Source organism: Homo sapiens, chromosome 4, assembly GCF_000001405.40.
Source record: "Homo sapiens chromosome 4, GRCh38.p14 Primary Assembly".
Taxonomy (NCBI): Eukaryota; Metazoa; Chordata; class Mammalia; order Primates; family Hominidae; genus Homo; species Homo sapiens.
This window is the reverse complement of record NC_000004.12, coordinates 135,871,446-135,891,001: the sequence shown is the minus strand read 5'-3', so window position 1 is coordinate 135,891,001 and position 19,556 is coordinate 135,871,446. Positions and strand designations below refer to the sequence as shown.

The window sequence follows — 19,556 nt, the reverse complement described above, 5'->3', positions numbered from 1 at the left end:
GACATATCGGGCCTGTCATAATATACAACCAGAATTTTCCAAATTAGAAATACCTGTATATGGTGGATTAAGGAGTATTCATATACTTTAAATATTACAGTCATTTGAAAACTAGCAACTTACTAAAATCAAGGTTAAGTAGCACAAACTCTGATCCCACAATTAAACAACAGATGATCACTTTCAAAAATGCAAAGTACCTATATATTAACAAATATATATTTATTCATTTAAACGCACACACAAACACACACGATCACCCCAAAAAGATACACTGTGAGACAAAGAAGCAAAGAAACGCCCATCATTAAAGACAGTTTTTTTTTTAAATGTCAAAACCAACAATGGTAGATATATACCAGTTGATTTAGAGAGATTTCTGTGATTAAGTTAATTATGAGTAAGATGACCCAATTTTTGCACAGTCATAATTGATCTTAATTCTTCCTGTGTTTTCAGATATACAAATTAAGGGCAAATACAAGAAGGTATCTTAGTGAACTAACGTGGATTAACAACTGGTAGCAGTTTTATGAAAAGTAAGAGAAGAGGCTACTTACACAAATTTTAAAAAGGAAAGTAAAAGGAAAAAAACTACTAAAAAAAGCACATATGATAGTATCTTATTTACATATTTATCCATAGATTTAAAGATTGTATTGTTAAATGTTTGTATAAAGAAATTTTAAAGGACCATAAAAATAAAAGTTCATTCTTGAATAATTGAAATTCCTCTCTTTGATATTGAGCTGTGTAATTGTTCTGTCAGATTTCTTTTTTTTACTATAGATTTTTACTCTAGGCAAGTCAATCAAACTGAGTATTAGTTGCAGTAATTCAATTCACTTCATAGTGAATATGTTTCTTTATTTTATGTAGTTTTATTTTTATATATGTTTAATATTAATATGTATTTATCAGTGAATAGAACATATATACATATTTCCATAATTCCTTCTAAAAATGTATCTTTCAGTATATATCTCCTTCATTTCAACTATATTAAATTTTACAAGAGCTGAATAAAGTTATAATATTGAATGAGATTAAGTGAAACATATAAAAGATTAAGAACAATGGCAATGTCTCTTACTAGTTTTCAAGAGACACTAATAAGACATTACTTTTGACTCTACCAAAGATTAAGGGGACAAATCTATAATTTCTAAGAACCATAAAGCATACTAAATAATGGTATCATTAAAGACAGTGTCTTTGTCTAATTTGATTGGAAATATATATTTATATATTTGATTATATATGCATACATATATGCTTCTATGATGAGTTCACTACACCTGAAAATTAGATTTCTTGGTAGACTGTGCAAAGCAATTTTAGAGGAGGACAAGCTTGCTGCATCAAACCTCAACTTTCTGTCTAGAAACAATCATAACAACCAGAAAGTGACATTGAAGGACAAAAATCGCCGTTTGAGAATGTTAGTATACGAACAAATCCTGTAACAAATTTCCACTTTTGGCAAAGGTATCTCTCTAAATTTAGTATAATTTTACAATCTTTTTATTCTCTTTTAAAATATTTTATTAATTTTTGAATATGCACAAATTATTTTTGTTAATTTTAAATACAAATAATAAAACACATAACTGTATATCTTCTTTGAAATGCGGGTAATACAAATTCCTAATTTTCAATATTAGATCCCCTGTATGCCTCCTTTCCAATTCTTTTTCCCTTTCTCTGTTCAGGAGAGAAGTATTACCCCAATTCTATGTTAATCACTCCCTTTCTTTTTTATGTGGTGTTGGAATATATATGTGCATTCCTTTTTATCTTACTTGGCTTTGTAGTTGGAATTGTATATAAATTAAATCACAATGTATGTATTCTACAACTTTCTTTGGCTCAAAATTTTATTTTGCTTTATGTTATTATTTTTCTTTCCATTGTAATAACTTTGGTTTGTTTGATATTATTTTGCTTTCTTTTTCTACTTTCTTCCTCTAATTTAGAAATTAAATACACTATTTTTGTTTTGTTTAAAGTGTTTACCATCAGCATTTCAACATGCATAATTTAAAAGATTTAAATTTATTACATAGCCTTAATATTGTTTTTAGAAAAGAAATAAAATCAATAATTTAAGTCACATTTGCACATCAAATTTTGCTATTATTATTTTGCTATTATTCTTTAGTTCACAGTCATACTAAGAGAATAGTCTTTACAGGTGTCAGCTTTGTTTTTTGAGTCTTCTATCAGATTTCCCATAAAGTCAGTTTCTACACTTTGTCTTCTGCTACACGGTAGCAAAAATTGAAGGTTAAAATCAATAGAATTTGACGACCGTTTTAGAATCTTTGCCTCTTTTTACTTTCCGTTTGGCCTCTGAGAATTTTTAAATTATTTTTCATATCATTGATAGATGCAAAGTTATGTTTTTATGTTATGCTTTTTTTTATAGTTTCTTGGTATTTTTATTTGTTTTGCAGCAGTACTATTAGGGTATATCATTCTTTAACAAGAGACTGGTTTAATATGTTCTTTCCATTTCTACTATATATGTTTTAATTACCTCATATTTGTATTTTTGTAGAATTCTCCAAACAATTAAATAATCCCAAAGTTCCACTTTCAAAATTGCTTTTCTCCTAATCTGTACATCTAATGAGTTCCTGTAAACTTCAAGCTAATATTGATATTATACAACCCTATTATATAAAATATTTACTTTCTGTTATAGGTAAAAATTTCCCTTCTCAACACTTAAAGTCCTAACCACCAGAATCTCTGAATATGACCTTATTTGGAGACAGAGTCATTGCAAATATAATTAGTTAAGATGAAGCAATAATTGCATAGAGTAAGCCCTTAATGACTGCTATTGTTATAAAAAGAGAAGAGACAGAGACACAGAGCAAAGATTTCTGCATGTGGACGTAGGCAGAGCTCGCACTTACGCATTTATAATCCAAAGAAGGCCAAGGGTAACTGGTAACTCTCAGAAGCAGAAAAAGAAGCTTGGGACGGACTCCCCTTCAGAGCTCTGTAGGGACCAATTTTGCTGGTATGTGATTTTGAAATTCTAGTCTCCAGAACTGTGAGAGAACAAATTTCTGTTGTTTTAAACCATCCAAGTTGTGGTAAACTGTTACTGCAGCTATAGAAAATCAATACATTTGTCAAATCTAATGTATTTTCTTACAGATATTTTTCATGAAAAGCCATCTAACCAATACTCTCATATGAAAGATCTACCATAATTACACTATTTTCTACTTTTTAATATCATGTTTCTATTCTTACCAATTCTGTTCTTTTCTCAACCAATCCATTCTGCCATATTATCTTCTTTATCTACTAAATACAATATGATTTTGAAGTTCTAGTCTCCAGAACTGTCAGAGACCAAATTTCTGTTCTTGTAAACTATCCAAGTTGTGGTAATCTGTTACTGCAGCTATAGAAAACTAATACATTTGCCAAATCTAATGTATATTCTTACAGACATTTTTCATGAAAAGCTATCCAACCAATACTCTCATATGAAAAAAATCTACCATAATTACACTACTTTCTACTTTTTAATATCACGTTTCAATTCTTACCAATTCTGTTCTTTTCTCAACCAATCCATTATGCCATATTATCTTCTTTGTCTACTAAATTTAATATCAACAGCTCCTTTTCCTACACTATGTTACATGTGTTCACATATTATTATTTTCTCAGAATCGTTATGTTTATATGTCTAGTATAATATGTTTTATATTTGTACCTCACAAAATGTAGTGCTCTGCTGTACTCATTCAATGCATTTCATTTAATTTCAGCACAATTCTGTAAAATGACTCTGTGACTTGTTGATAAATCAGGCCCCAAATAAAATACATTAAACCTTTTTCCAAATAAAGGGATGTTCCCCTATTACTAATGCAAACAAGAATATTCCAAATTTAATGTTGCAAACTGTTGACTCCATGTTTCACAAAGAAAAATTGACTTATGAACTTAAACATTTCTGGTTTTTAACAGGCAATTAGGAACGGCAGTTATCATTTTTCTTTTGTCAGCTGTTGCATGTGCTTCTGGCACTATCATTTGTCTTAAACATTTTTTCTCTCTGATTTTGACCAAGTTGGGGTGTTAACCATTAAAATATTTGTTGAATAATATGCAAACTCTGCAAAGAGAAGTTTAGTGCATTTGTGTAACTACAGCTGTGGATATTTAATTCTAAATGAGAAAAAAGATAATTCTGTCATGAGCTGTCTTTTATTAGTATGAACCAATAACTAGCTGAATATTTTATATTTGACCAAAATCCATCTAATTTTTGACATTTGTAATTGTGTGTGGTAGTATTATATATTTTAAAAATGCTGTTTTGCAGTCTGTTCTTAGAAATATTTCACTTCAAGTATTACTATTCTTTCATTTTTGTAAGTTTTAAAACACATGTAAAAATAAATGAGGTCCAAATAAGTTATTTGCCCATGATCACACAGACAGACAGTGAGAAAAGAAATAGTTAGTATTCTTTATTACTAATAGTATTCCTACTCTTGGTTATTTCTTTTCTTGGACACAAAGATATTTCAGACATCTATACATGTATGTGCAAATCTGCAATATGTTTAACACTGTTCTGCTAGCTAAATCGCTGTTTGATTATTTATTTTTCCCAAGTTTTGCTTTGTTGTACTTTGAGGTTTTCTAAATTCATAATTTTGCTTTCTTTCTCAAGATCCTGTATCTAACTAACCTCTGAAAATGCCATGTCAAGAAAGTTTTGGTACAATATTTATGAGGTATACAAGATCTTTTGTTTAGTTGTGATCTTAGGCTTAGAGCAAGAAGGGATGCAATCTCTTCACAGCGTCTGCTATTTCATTCTGTATTTACCAAGCTTAGTGATTATATACTGTGAATAGACACCTGGACAAAATCCTAGGCAATTTAATGTTTTTATGCCTCTGACATTCCAATTCATCCTCCAAGTCTCATTTGTTCATAAATAAATAATCTATTTTCAGATCACGGGTCCTTAAATAACTGAAACAGTTAAAACAAAAAGAACAAGGAGGATAAAATCTAGTATTCTAAAAAGATCCTCCAAAGACTATTTAGGTAATTGAATAGTCAATGAATGTTAACAAACCAAGATTTATTGAATTATATTTACATTGTGTTATAACTTTTTAAAATTGATTGTCTTACAGGATTTAACTGGTATAAAGATACTATGTCAAACCAAGCCACTAAGGCACATACTGAGCTATGAACTGAGCTGTTGGATTGATCATTTTGCCTTACCAAATATTTCATATTATACCTTTCCCCGTCCCAGTGGACACATGAGTGCACGCGCGCACGCACACACACACACACACACACACACACACACACACACAGGATGTATTCCATAAATGCCTTGGGTGTCACAGCATGCAAAGCAAATGAAAAACTGTTTCTTGAATTCTGGGAACAATTTAAAATCTATTAAACCCTGTTCATCCTTGAAGATGCTGTCTCTTCCAGATCCTTCAAGATTGGAAAAAGAAGGTGATGAGCATTTTTAAACTCAGTTCACTGAGCACTGAGCAATTGCTTAAGGGAAGGTGAGTTTGGCCTAAAAGACAATAACAAAACCATGATCAATTTGTTTTCTGGTTCATTGTTCTTTGTGCTATTACTACTGTGTGATATAAATCATTTTACAATGCTAGGAGTTGTTAAAATTAGCATTAATATTAAGAAATTTTCTATCTCTACCCAAGATGCTAGGGAAAAAAGAGAGTTTAGCTTATGCCTATGTCCTTTGTATTAGAAAATTACAATTACCATCTATGTATATGTGATGCAAAATCACTCATGTGTATAGTGCAACTGAAAACATCTGATGTGTGAAATTCAGCCATTGTCTGCCATTCTGTATACATGCTTAATCTGTCTAGTGGTTAGCCATTATTTTCAAACCCTGAAGCTCTACCCGAAACTCTATCTTCTGCCAAAAGTGTAATGTCACTTGAAAGTTATATGAATAGGACATTTTTGATTATGACATGGATATTTTGTCTGTTGCTGCTACAAGATGGTCAACATCACTGTTTTACTGATTTTTATGAGAAATCACTGTTTTATGAGAAATCACTGTTTTACTGATTTTTATGAGAAAAACATCCTATAGATTTTATGTTTCTCTTCATTTGTGTAACATATTTGAATGTATTATTTTAAGAAATTTCATGTAAAATCAAATGAAATGTTATTATGTACCATTTAATATTAACAAAATGGTCTTATATATCTTCATAATAAACTCATGTTAGACAATTTTATATTAAACCTTAGATTATGGTGAAGCCTGGTGAGGCTTTAAGGACGCAGGTCATAATAGAAAGAGAAAACCTGGTATAAGAGAGGCAGAAATAGAGAAATCAATAGCAGTTACCCATTAGAAGTTCACATTATAATATTTAATGAGTGTGACAAACTTAGGTTTCAGCTATGCCCAAAGCCCCTAAGCTAATAGAGACTTGTTCTAGTGAGGGAGGCATAGTCACAACATTTCCAAAGTGGACAGAATACATCATGGGAGACTTGTATTTAATTGGATTGGGTTGTGATAAAAAAAAATAGGAAATGAGGATTACAGAGTGTATCCCCTAAAAACAGAGGGCTTTAATGGTTTTTAGTGTTAGGTTGAAACAGGAGAGAGGACTAGAATAAAAGTCATAAATAGGTATACAAACGGGCAAGAAAAACAAGAGAGCAGGAGGAAGGTCATAGTTTGCTGACTTAATAGATACTCAGGACTCTGAACAGAGATCCAGGTAAATACTAGATGTAGTACAGAAAAATAATACCAAACACAGCAATCTGTGAGTCGGAGCCTATCTGCAGTATTTTTCCTTTAAAAAATATATTTTTAAGAATTGTTTTGGGGATCTGATACACTACATTAAAAATAGTTTTTGCTGAGATCTAAGAAGCAGCAGGAACTGTTTGTTGTTTAAAACAAATGTCAGTGAATTGATGGAGTTTGCTTCATTTGTTTAACATAACAAAACAAATCCTGGTAAAATCCTAGCTTTAGAATTCTGATTTCTTAGTTTATGGTGCACTCCCTCTGCTTTGCTGCATTCCAACAAAACATGGTGTCTCTGATTGCTTGACCTTACGCATTTTGTTATTCTAATTAATAAGATTCTTTTATCTTACTGATAGTACTCTTAAAATAACTATAAAAGCAACGGCCATTTTTGGTAGCTGTAAGTACCAAAAAGAGACTACACTGATAAATAATAAGTAATTATTTCACTTTATACAAATCACACTTTTTTGTGTATTTTACTTTTATTGTGTTAATAATTAATAATTAATTTTAATTGACAATAATTGCATATATGAATGGGAAAGTAAGATATATTAGTCAAAGGTATATTGTTTCATTTAGACTGGAGGAATACGCTTTTGTGATCTATTGCACTGGATGGTGGCCAAAACACTAGTTTAGACTCTACTAGACCAGTGAGTTCTGTCGCACTTCATGAAAGGCAGTCTTGGTTGGTGTATAAGACAGGCTGGAAGGGGTGAATGGGCTCTTCTATCTCCCCTAAATATTGGGAGCATGAGTAAGAATTCATATAAATAAGGCCGGGCGCGGTGGCTCACGCCTGTAATCCCAGCACTTTGGGAGGCCGAGGCGGGCGGATCACGAGGTCAGGAGATCGAGACCATCCCGGCTAAAACGGTGAAACCCCGTCTCTACTAAAAATACAAAAAATTAGCCGGGCGTAGTGGCGGGCGCCTGTAGTCCCAGCTACTTGGGAGGCTGAGGCAGGAGAATGGCGTGAACCCGGGAGGCGGAGCTTGCAGTGAGCCGAGATCCCGCCACTGCCCTCCAGCCTGGGCGACAGAGCGAGAAAAAAAAAAAAAAAAAAAAAAAAAAAAGAATTCATATAAATAAAGTGTTCTGTAATCAAATATTTTAAAACTATAATTTTAAGTCAAGAATACAGGAAATTACATTTTGATATCTTAGTGCAATCTTGTTATTGTTGTCATATGCCGTCAATATATCTGCAATTTATGAGATACTTTCACCCATGATATGCAATAAAAATATTTGTTTTGTATTGTCTTTGAGATGAAGAAAATAGAATTCTAATTCATAGCCAATTAAAATTAAAGAACATGTGATTACCAATTACCAAAGATTGGCCTTTTTTAATTTTTAATTTTTATTTTTTTAAAGGAGAGAAAAGAACTTTAGACATAGAGGTTAGGATCATGCCCCACAATCCCTTTAGTAGTTACACTTTCCCTTCTTATGTGTAGTAACTTACTGAACTCTTGCAACTACCTATGAGGAAACTATGATTGTTATACTCATTTTAGAGATGAGGAAGCCGAGACATAGAGCTTAACTTGCGCAAGGTCATACAGCTAATAATTATTGGAACTAGGACTCTAGGCAATGGGGCTACAAATTATCTGATTTTTATCTCAACGCTATGTGTAATCTAAAATTAGAAATCAGGAAATTTAATCAACAGTAGTTACTGTTTCAAAGTTTGAAGGACGTAGCAACAATCATAAAAAGTAATGCCTCAAATACATTGTCTCTTTTGTAAAGTGATAAACTTCTGTATTGAATAAACTGTGAGTTTTAAAGAGACATTGATAACCTACGGATAAGAGACTAGCCATATATATATAATTTTTAACCTATAGATAGGTAATTTTACCTATATATGTATATACACAGACATTAATTTCACACACACACAACACATATAGATGAAGATGTCATTCAATCTTTAAACTTAACTAATATATCCTTTAAAGCTGAAGTCCTGAATCATAACCTTCCTGAAGTTTTCATTAAAATCCAAAATTTTTAGCACATAGTGAATTCAATTTAATTATGATAGTAAACTTACATCACTGCAGGCTTAACTTTTGGAAAGTAACTGAATTATAAATTTAAAGCAAACAACTATTCTCTTCAAAAATAGTATGAATGTCTATCATGTTCGGGCTTGATAAGTCCAGCTCAATGTAAATCTCCCCTCCTCCTTTCTGGGAAATGAATGAAAAGATACTGAACTTCATTAGTAATTACTGAATGCTTATGCATATATACATACGTAAACAGACTGCAAGGTGTCCAAGAAGATGATGAGGAAATCAGATCATTTAAATAGCATAATAGCCTAAAGGGTCTCAGAGGAAAGCATGTTATTTAATAATAAAAGGGCAGATTCATTATGATGCTTCCATTTGCCTACTGAAAGCAACATCCACTGATATGCTGCATGACACCTCTTTCCCCCACCGTCACTGAGTTTTGAATAGTTATTAAAGTTGCTAGTAGTTACTAATAACGAATAGTACTTATTAGTAACATTAGATAATGTATTTCCAAAAAAAATTTGCCTATGAGAAAAGTGGCCTAAAAATTAGCTTTTTATCATATGGCATGATTTAGTAGAATGTATTGAAAACTTAATCACTCTACAGATACATAATCTATGTGGAATATAAAACCTAACAAATAAAAAAATAAGAGGCTTAATTATTTATATTTAAAATAAGAGAAGAGACTCCCCCCTTTCCTATAGCATTTATTTTATATTACTTATAGTTTTAAGTTTTTTTTTTTTGTCTTTTTGAAATGTATGGAAATCTTTTTAAAAGTTAAATAAGCTTCCTGTCAGGTTTAAAACCCAAGAATATCTTTCTCCAGGTCTTGGGAATCTTCTCTTTGAAATGTAGTCATCAAGAAAGATAATGCCTCTATATCCCAGTTTTTTGTGAAGGAAGGAGCCTAACTCAGTGGGTGCTTCACTCCAAGATGTAAAATTCTCTCATGAGAAGGATGTGAAAAGTTGATTTATTTATTAATTTTGGATTAGCCTATTAACAAACACAGATGGCCATTTCAATGACCAGTTGATTATAGAATGACCTTTGTGTGTTAAATGGTGCTGTCGGGGCCTCTTATTTGAGCACTAGTTATTGTTTATCTTGAGAACACATATGTAATGGATTAGATCTGCTTCACTATGCAAAATAATAGTATTTATTCCTGTCTTTGCATTCCCTTAGCAGATTGTCTGTGATGAACATCACATTCTGTTTTGATACCTATTCAGTTATAAAAGTTGTTTTCTTTTACTTCTACATTTGCAGAGAGGTTTTCTAGGGTGGGAGTAAATTTTATTTTTAATTATATTTACCCAACAGCATTTATGTCATAAAAGGGAAAATTCAAATGTTTCTCACCTGATGTAGACATCTTAAGTGTTGTATAGTGAATGTAATTTAAAACTATATCTTATTCATCTTTAATTCTTAGATCTTGCTCTTAGTGAAAGTGTTTTGCTGAGAAATACAAACTTTTTATATTACTTAAAATCGGGGCCTCCTACACTTCATAATAATTATTTTATGGAATTTAATGAATATTGCTAAAGTGGTTCATAAATTTCCTAAAAAATATCAGTTTTGATTATAAAGCAAAATAACAATAGTTTCTTTTTTCTCCCTCAACTTGATTAGTGATATAACTTGTATTGTTTGATAGTTTAATTGTGATGTTAAAATGCTGGTATTCTTTCTTGGGTCAAGACAGAAAGCAGTGAAGCATAGAAAGGGAAAGAAGTTTCCACAAGCCAGCTATGCTCTAGTGTTCATTGCATTTGACATGCTTCATGATGAATGAGGGATACACAGAGTACTATATGCAAGTTTACTGCAGCCAGACACAATTATATCAGTGAATATTTGAAATTATAGCTATTTATAAGTAATTCACAAATTGACAATTGCGTGCACACAAATCTTTAGGAAAATTGGAAAATTAATATTTATTAATATTTTTCCTAGCAATATTCCTCAAGATGAAATTATTCATTCAAATATTAGTATTCCAATGTCTTCTTTCCTTCTCAAGCACATAATCTACTTTTCCTATTTTATGTAATGAAAAATGAAAATAAAGCAATTTGCTGCAGAGTACTATTTTTGCACATTAGACCAGAGTATTTTCTCTTTTGACATATTACTTAAAAGTTTGTCTTAATATTAAAATGAAAATTCTTGTTTTCTGGTCTAGAAAAGCAAACAGATAAAATCAAGCAAAGAGACCTGGAACATAGATACTAGTAGTAGATACTAATAGTAGATAATACAACTTTGAAAACCAAGATGAAAGTTAACTTTGCACTATACTCTTCCAAACATTAATGTTTATAATCTTCCAGTAAAAATATAGGGACTTTTAAGCAAATGACTTCTTTAATGTGACCTAAAATTAAAACTGCAATGCAATTCTGACACTATTATTTACTAAAATTATCAGGGTAAGTCTAGCTAGATTTAATCTTTCATGTGTGTTCAGACATGGGGAACTGGAAAAGTAATTAGCTTAATTACAAAACTATACACAGGTCTTGAATGAGGCGATCTATCTATAGACTGATCTAGTATAGTGTTGTTCAACCATGGAATCCTGAGGAGTTATTTAACCTCTCTGACATTCAAATTCCACAACTATTAATATAAAATCCAAAGACTAATTCTGCTTTTCTTTCTTCATCTCATAATGTTTCTTTGTTCATTCATTCATTTTTATTGTTTTCTTTTTTCCCTGAATCAAATGAGATATTCTATGTAAAAACAACTTGTAAAATGTAAATCACTATATGGATATTGTTAAATTTGCCCCCTTTTCAAGCTTCCTGATGCATAAATACCCAGCCTGTGCTTTCTTAGCAGGTATTTGAGATACTGAGTGCTCAGTAGTTCCAGAATTTTTTCAGGACTTCAGTGGCTCTAAGAGTTTGACAGGAGACATGATTTAAGAAAGAGAAATTCAGAAGAGTCTGCATTTCATCAATGCTGAAAGAAACCTACTTCAAACAATTTTGGTTCTCCTTTTTGGCTCTACAATTGAAAGTTCTTTCTAGACTTTCTTAATTTGTCTATTCTTTCTTTTGTTTGAAAAATCTTTAGATTTGCTTAAACCCAAGGACAACAGTCATATATGTGTATTTGCACATTAGTACAAGGTAGGACATCACAGACATGAAACAGTAAAATTATGATTAGAGACAGCTCTCTCATCCACTCCAGGAAATGGTTTTGCGTTCTTTTAATACATATAGAGCAGAGCAATATGGAGATACAACTTGCCATGTAAATCCTCAAATAAGTTTGAATAGAAACAATAATAAAGTATCCATCCAAGTAAGTGTTGTTGTCCACTGTGTTAGTTCAGGTTGCTATAACAAAATAAGATAAACTGGGTCATTTATAAACAACAGATACATATTTCTCACAGTTCTGGAGTCTGGGAAGTCCAAGATCAAGGCACTGGCAAATTCAGTATTGCCCTCTTTCTGGTTCATAGATGGCCATCTTTTGACTGTGTCCTCACATGGCAGAAGGGCAGAACTCTGATCTCTACATCCCTTTATATAGAGTTAATCCCATTCATGAAGGCTTCACTTTCTTGGCCTCTAGTCAACTCCCAAAGGCCCTATCTCCTAACATCATCACATTGGGGGTTGGAGTTTCGACATATACATTTTGGAGGAACATAAAATCAGGCTATAGTACCGATAGACATGTGGAGTGATGAGAGCCCTGAGCAATTCTGTTGAACTCCCACCTTCAACAATTGCCTCAGAAAAACTTAGAGTTTGTAACATTTTTATTTGTGCAGCTCTTAATCTTTTTAAGAAAGCATTGAGACAAATAATAGTAAGAATGCCAAAGGAAGTTATAATAGAAATAAAAAAAGCATTAGTCTCAAAAAAGTATGAGATAAATATAACAAAGAAAATGAAGACCACAAATTCATAGGCCATAAATTAGTTTCTAATTATTTGCTTATTTTTTTAAAAGCAAGCAAGAGGAAACAGTACCATGTGGTCACTTATGGGATTATCATCATCAGAAAGAGAAAGAACATTGATTCCTTAGGGGATGTGAATTGTGCCTTGCATACCTCTTCTAAAAGCAATATGAACTTAAATCTTCACCTGAGGCTCTGTCTTAAGAGCACAGAGTGATACTTTTTTCTGCAGTCTTCATGCAGATAATGAAATCACAGATTTCAAATGGCTGGATAGTTTAACTTCTTTAGACAACAACCAAGTGCTGAATGCTAAAGTAAAGCTCAGTGAGCTTATGTCTGTGTGGTTTGGCTTTCAAGGACAGACAAAAAAATCACATAGAGGAGTGGCTATATTAAATATCATCTAAAGCATTTAACACAGATAATTTCTCCAAATCAATATATTTATGGGGACTGACGAACAACATAGAAAAGTGTCTTCTCAGATGACAGGCTAGAGCACTGACTCTGAAATGCTGATGGAAGGTGCATTCAGATGCATTAAAATTCAGACAATGCACAAATATAATTAGAAATTTCTCTAGAGTTGATGGTCGCTTTAATTTAGACCATAGGTGGTTCAAAGTAGTTGCTGAAGATCATGAAGAGGTCAAGCTTTAAGTACATATTTCTTTTGTACATGCACAGTTAGTCTGATTTTCATCAAAATTCCAGGGAAGGCATTTTAGTGTATGAATATTTCTTCTTGCTAACTCAAATTTCGAGATACATATTGTTTGTTATACTGTATGAACAAAATAATCATTCTCTATACCAGGCTTGTAATTCTTTTTTTGTCTTAAATCACTAAATATATAGTATTCATGTAGCTGTCAGACAAGAACTACTTAAAATACTGTTGTTTTATTAGCTATCATAAACTATAAGTATCAGCTAAAAACAACTTACATATAATTTACTGAAGTAGATTACAGGTCCTGCCTACTGCCCAAACAATAAGGAAGCAAAGTCCCTTTAATAAATACAGGAATGACATGATCTCAAATTTAGAACTGCCGCACGGTGGCAGGGTCTATTAAAACATCATTTGTACTTCTCCCTAGATTGTATTTCCCAGCCTTCCTTCCAGTTGAGAGCGGCCATGCAACTGAGTTATATTCAAGTAGAGGCAAATGAATGTAACCTATGAGCTTTTAGACACATAAAACAACTTTCCACCCATGGTCTTCTATGCTCTTTCCCTCTGCCACATGAACGTTGATGACTAGGAAATTCTTCCAGGAGACATATTGAAGTTGTATTGTCACTGACATTTTGCTATTGAATTACTACATAGAACTGAGCACTTCCTCCAACCTGTACATTCCTTGATCTGGATACTTGATTGAGAATAAGTTTATAGTCTAGAAACATTACACATTGAGGGGTATATTTGTTAGTAATGTTAGCCTGTTCAAGTCATTTAACTTTATCCTACACAAGAGACCTTGTTTCTACTGAGAAACATACTTCTTTATGTTTCTATGTATTTGTAAAAGCTGGTCTCTAACATTGTATTTACACATGGATTAGTTTGATTGTAGCTTGTATTCTCCAAATTCTTTGAATTCAACTCTTATCTCTCATCATGATCCAGCCACTCTGGTCTTCTTTCAGTTTCTCAAATACATCATACTCGCTTCTGCTTTAGAACTTGTGCACTTAATTTTTCTTTCTGCCATATTCCTCTTTCTTTCCTTCCTTCTATGCCTGACTCCTTCTCATCCTTTAGGTGTTAGTTCAAATGCCATCATATCTGAGATCTTCCTTTGCTCACATGAATATAGAACACCTATTGTTACACTCCCTCTATCGCATTATTGTGCTTATCATTATTAGAATTAATGCTGCTGTATTTTTGAGCCATATTTGTATGAGTGTGTATGTGTATTTGTTTCTCTCCCTGCTCGAAATCTAGTCTCTAATATGACAAGAATTTGTCTTTTTTATTCAGCAACTTTTCTTCAGTGTCAAGGGTAGATAATTCCAGGTACATATCAGGAGTCTGATAAATATGTTTTCAACTCAATATGAACATTGCTTTTTCAGATAGACCCAACAGGTAAAGAATTAGATACTTAAAGCCAGTAGGTTCTCAACAGATTTTAGTAATGGCAGTTTATTTCGAGTATTATTGAGCAAGATAATTTATCTAGCATAGAGCTGAATTACAAAGTTAGGTGAAGCAAATATTGACTGTGGCTCAAATTCTGTAAAAGTTTTATGTGTACCTATTTAACATTTTATAAAAATTGAAATGAATCTATAGTGTTTTACATAAACCATAACCCCTTAGTTAATGAAGAGTTTACTGCTTCTGAAGAAAGTAATTAAGTAAATGTGAATTACTCATTGATTTTGTTACAAAATTCAATAAACTTTTAAATATAGTATCATTGTATGTTGAAGTTAATGGAAATATAAAAACCATGTTTAACTTACTTAAAAATTAAAGTCATGAGGCTTTGTATTCAAACCTGATAAATTAAACATGCACTAATTAGGAAAATGTATAGAGCTGCATTCAATATATATTATATATTTTTGCATAAATGGTTTATAGGATGAATGAATGTGGAGTTGTTGAGCATGAAAAAAATAAATCTGGTTAATTTATAATTGATGTCTGCATTCATTATATAGTATACTTTGGGTTATATTATTTACAGGACAAATGCATTTTAAATTATAAGCATATATTTGAAAACCCATTTTTAAGAAGACTGTGTGTTAAGAATATATATATATATTTGTACATATATGCAGTTTTTTTTGTTTTTTGTTTTGTTTTGTTTTGTTTTGTTTTGTTTTGTTTTGTTTTTGGAGACAGGGTCTGTCTCTGTTGCCCAGGCTGAAGTGCAGTGGCCTGATCACAGCTCACTGCAGCCTCGACCTCTTGGGCTCAGGCAATCCTCCTACCTAAGCCTCCAAAGTAGCTAGAACCAAAGGAGTGCACATGTTTCTGTATATTTGTATATTTTCTTGAGGCAAGGTTTTGCCATGTTGCCCAGGTTGGTCTCGAATTCCTGTGGCTCAAGGGATCCACTTGCCTTAGCCAGTCAAATTGTTAGGAATACAGGTGTGACCCACTATGTCCAGTCAAAATATTTTTAAAAGATCAAAAAATGACAAAATAATATGTTTAAAAAAGTGTAGAAAGTAATAATTAAATGTCATTTGAGATATTTTTTCAACAATACAGGAAGTCAAGACACACACTACAATAGCATGGTTTATATGGGAGGATGATTTGCCATCCCCCATATTTATATCTACCTATGTATGTATACATTTCCTATTTATATATTTAAAACAATCAACTTCATATTTATATCTTCTCAAATTGAAATCAGTACAAGAAAAAAACATAAGTAAAAAAGTAGGTCTCTAACAACAAGGAAATTATAGGTAATTTAATGAAATTAATGAATAAACAGATGAATCACAGGTAAGCATACTTGATTAATAAAATAACATGGTATTTACATGTTATTGATAATATGAATAATGTAGAACAATAGATTCATTCCCTTTGGGTAAATGAAAAAATATACTTAGAAAAATCGGTATGCTCTTGTCAATAAAAATGTAGTATAAGTCTCTGAGAAAGAAAAATGCATCACAGATATTTCTCCCTTTTAGAAGGAACAACGCTTTAGTTAAAGAAAGCTATTATGAAGCACACTTTTTGAACTTAGAAGTGCTTTCTTTATTCAGGTGAATTATTTAACTTTCTTCTATGAGTTGAAAGGAGAATTTATTACTGAACAGAAAACCTTATTTCACTAATCAGTTTAAGAAATTTTCTTGATGAGATTAAAGTTTTAAGCTCTTTATCAAAAAGGATATATTTTTCTATTTCTATTGCTGTTTTTAGTTTCCATTCAATAGAAATAAATATGAACTCTGGTTGACTAGTTTTATTACAGAGATTGACTGGTCTAAATGGTAAATATTTATATTTTTATGAATGTCAAGCTCTTGAATTTTAATTATTTGTGAACACAAAAAAACATAAAAATATAGTAAATAGTGACAGTTTATAAACACTGTTACTCATTTCAAATATAAGAGGACTTGAAATAATTTTTTCTACATGTTAGTACTTTATTTTTTTGTCATTGCTAACAAAGCTGCATTTATTTATTTATTTATTTTTATTTTATATATATTTTTATTATACTTTATATACTTCATTATACTTTAAGTTCTAGGGTACATGTACACAATGTGTAGGTTTGTTACATAGGTATATATGGGCCATGTTGGTGTGCTTCACCCGTTAAGGTCTTTTCTGCATCTATTGAGATAATCATGTGGTTTTTGTCTTTGGTTCTGTTTATATGCTGGATTACATTTATTGATTTGCATATGTTGAACCAGCCTTGCATCCCAGCTCAACTACATGGAAACTAAACAACCTGCTCCTGAATGACTACTGGGTACATAACAAAATGAAGGCAGAAATAAAGATGTTCTTTGAAACCAATGAGAACAAAGACACAACATACCAGAATCTCTGAGACACATTTAAAACTGTGTGTATAGGGAAATTTACAGCACTAAATGCCCACAAGAAAAAGCAGGAAAGATCTAAAATTGGCAACCTAACATCACAATTAGAAGAACTAGAGAAGCAAAAGTGAACACATTCAAGAGCTAGCAGAAGGCAAGAAATAACTAAGATCAGAGCAGAACTGAAGGAGATAGAGACACAAAAAAACCCTTCGAAAAAATCAACGAATCCAGGAGCTGGTTTTTTGAAAAGATCAACAAAATTGATAGACCGCTAGCAAGACTAATAAAGAAGAAAAGAGAGAAGAATCAAATAGATGCAATAAAAAATGATAAAGGGGATATCACCACCGATCCCACAGAAATATAAACTACCATCAGAGAATACTATAAACACCTCTACGCAAATAAACTAGAAAATCTAGAAGAAATGGATAAATTCTTCAACACATACACCCTCCCAAGACTAAACCTGGAAGAAGTTGAATCTCTTAATAGACCAATAACAGGCTCTGAAATTGAGGCAATAATTATTTACTTACCAATCAAAATAAGTCCAGGACCAGACGGATTCACAGCTGAATTCTACCAGAGGTACAAGCAGGAGCTGGTACCATTCCTTCTGAAACTATTCCAATCAACAGAAAAAGAGGGAATCCTCCTTAACTCATTTTATGAGGCCAGCATCATCCTGATACCAAAGCCTGTCAGAGACACAACAAAAAAAGAGAATTTTAGACCAATATCCCTGATGAACATCGATGCAAAAATCCTCAATAAAATACTGGCAAACCGAATCCAGCAGCACATCAAAAAGCTTATCCACCATGATCATGTTAGTACTTTAAATTGAATTCATTTCCCACAGACATTATAAAATCCCCAAACTGATTTATGGCATTTAAAACAGCAGCCCCTCTCTTCTATTCATTCTACATTGTTAAAAATAAAAGGTCTTAGGAGGCTGAGGCAGGAGAATCGCTTGAACCCATGAGGTGGAGGCTGCAGTGAGCCAAGATCATGCCACTGCACTCCAGCCTGGGTGACAGAGCAAGGCTCTGTCTCAAAAAATAAATAAAATAAAATAAAATAATAAAAGGTCTTTGGGTAGTTTCAAAATCTTATTATAAATTGATCTTTGTTTCTACGCTTAATTGTTTTCTAACAGCCCCTTTATGTAAAAAGCTAATAGTGTAGACTAATAGGAAATAGGTACAATATCAAAAATCATTCCATATAGGAAGTTTTAAAAGAAGTACATTTAATATTCAATGGTTGTATGATAAGGATGTATCTACTTCTGCTCTATTTTTTCTGAGTTCATGATATTATTATTTTACTTTTATTTCTTACAAACATCTTTAGTGGATGGAGCTGATAGCTATCTATAAACTAATATCAAATGGGATTGTTTTTAAAATAATATGAAAAGAACCTATGTCATTAGTCTGGCCTCTCTATTCCCTTTCTTTCCATAGCCTGAGTAACACAAACCTCACCAGTAGGTCTTATAAAATATGTATTTTCCCTAGTTTAGATAATGACTGAAGCAATTTATATTTGGTCTCAACTTTTTACATTCGATACTAATTCATTTCTGATTATCTAATTCCAACTGAGTAAAAAATCCTAATAACTCTTCTACTTTTATTTCTAGGTTCAGTTGAACCTAGAAAATGATGTGGCTGAAGTGATGAATCTATTCTTTTAAATGAATTTGACTTGCATTCATTCCTTCTTGTGAATAAAATGCACAATACCAGTATGTCTCAGAACTGTGCCTCATATCTTGTTTTATTTATTGATTGATTTATTGATCTATTCATTTATTGAGATGGAGTCTTGCTCTGTTGCCCCAGCTAGAGTGCAGTGGTGCCATCTCGGCTCACTGCAACTTCTGCCTCCTGGGTTCAAGTGATTCTCCTGTTTCAGCCTCCTAAGTAGCAGGGATTACAGGTGCATGCCACCACGCCTGGCTAATTTTTCTATTTTTAGTAGAGACGGGGTTTCACCATGTTGGCCAGGCTGGTCTGGAACTCCTGACCTCAGGCGATCCACCCACCTTGCCCTCCCAAAGTGCTGGGATTACAGGCATGAGCTACTGCACACATCCTCTTATCTTATTATTGACTCCATATTTGGCAGCCTTCCTGTATGTGTTCTGTTG

The 19,556-nt window shown here is 32.2% G+C and overlaps 1 long non-coding RNA gene across 2 annotated transcripts in view; it reads left to right on the top strand.

Annotated features, from left to right (window-relative positions):
- Nucleotides 1-19,556, top strand: part of LINC00613 (long intergenic non-protein coding RNA 613) — a 46,698-nt gene that overhangs the window by 22,679 nt on the left and 4,463 nt on the right. The window contains exons 1-2 of one of the 2 annotated variants that reach the window (NR_103762.1): nucleotides 2,909-3,031; nucleotides 5,490-5,585. The exons of the other annotated variant lie outside the window; for it this stretch is intronic. This is a non-coding gene — a long non-coding RNA (long intergenic non-protein coding RNA 613). Of the gene's footprint in view, nucleotides 1-2,908; nucleotides 3,032-5,489; nucleotides 5,586-19,556 lie in introns of those variants that run through there. 2 annotated transcript variants of the gene reach the window in all.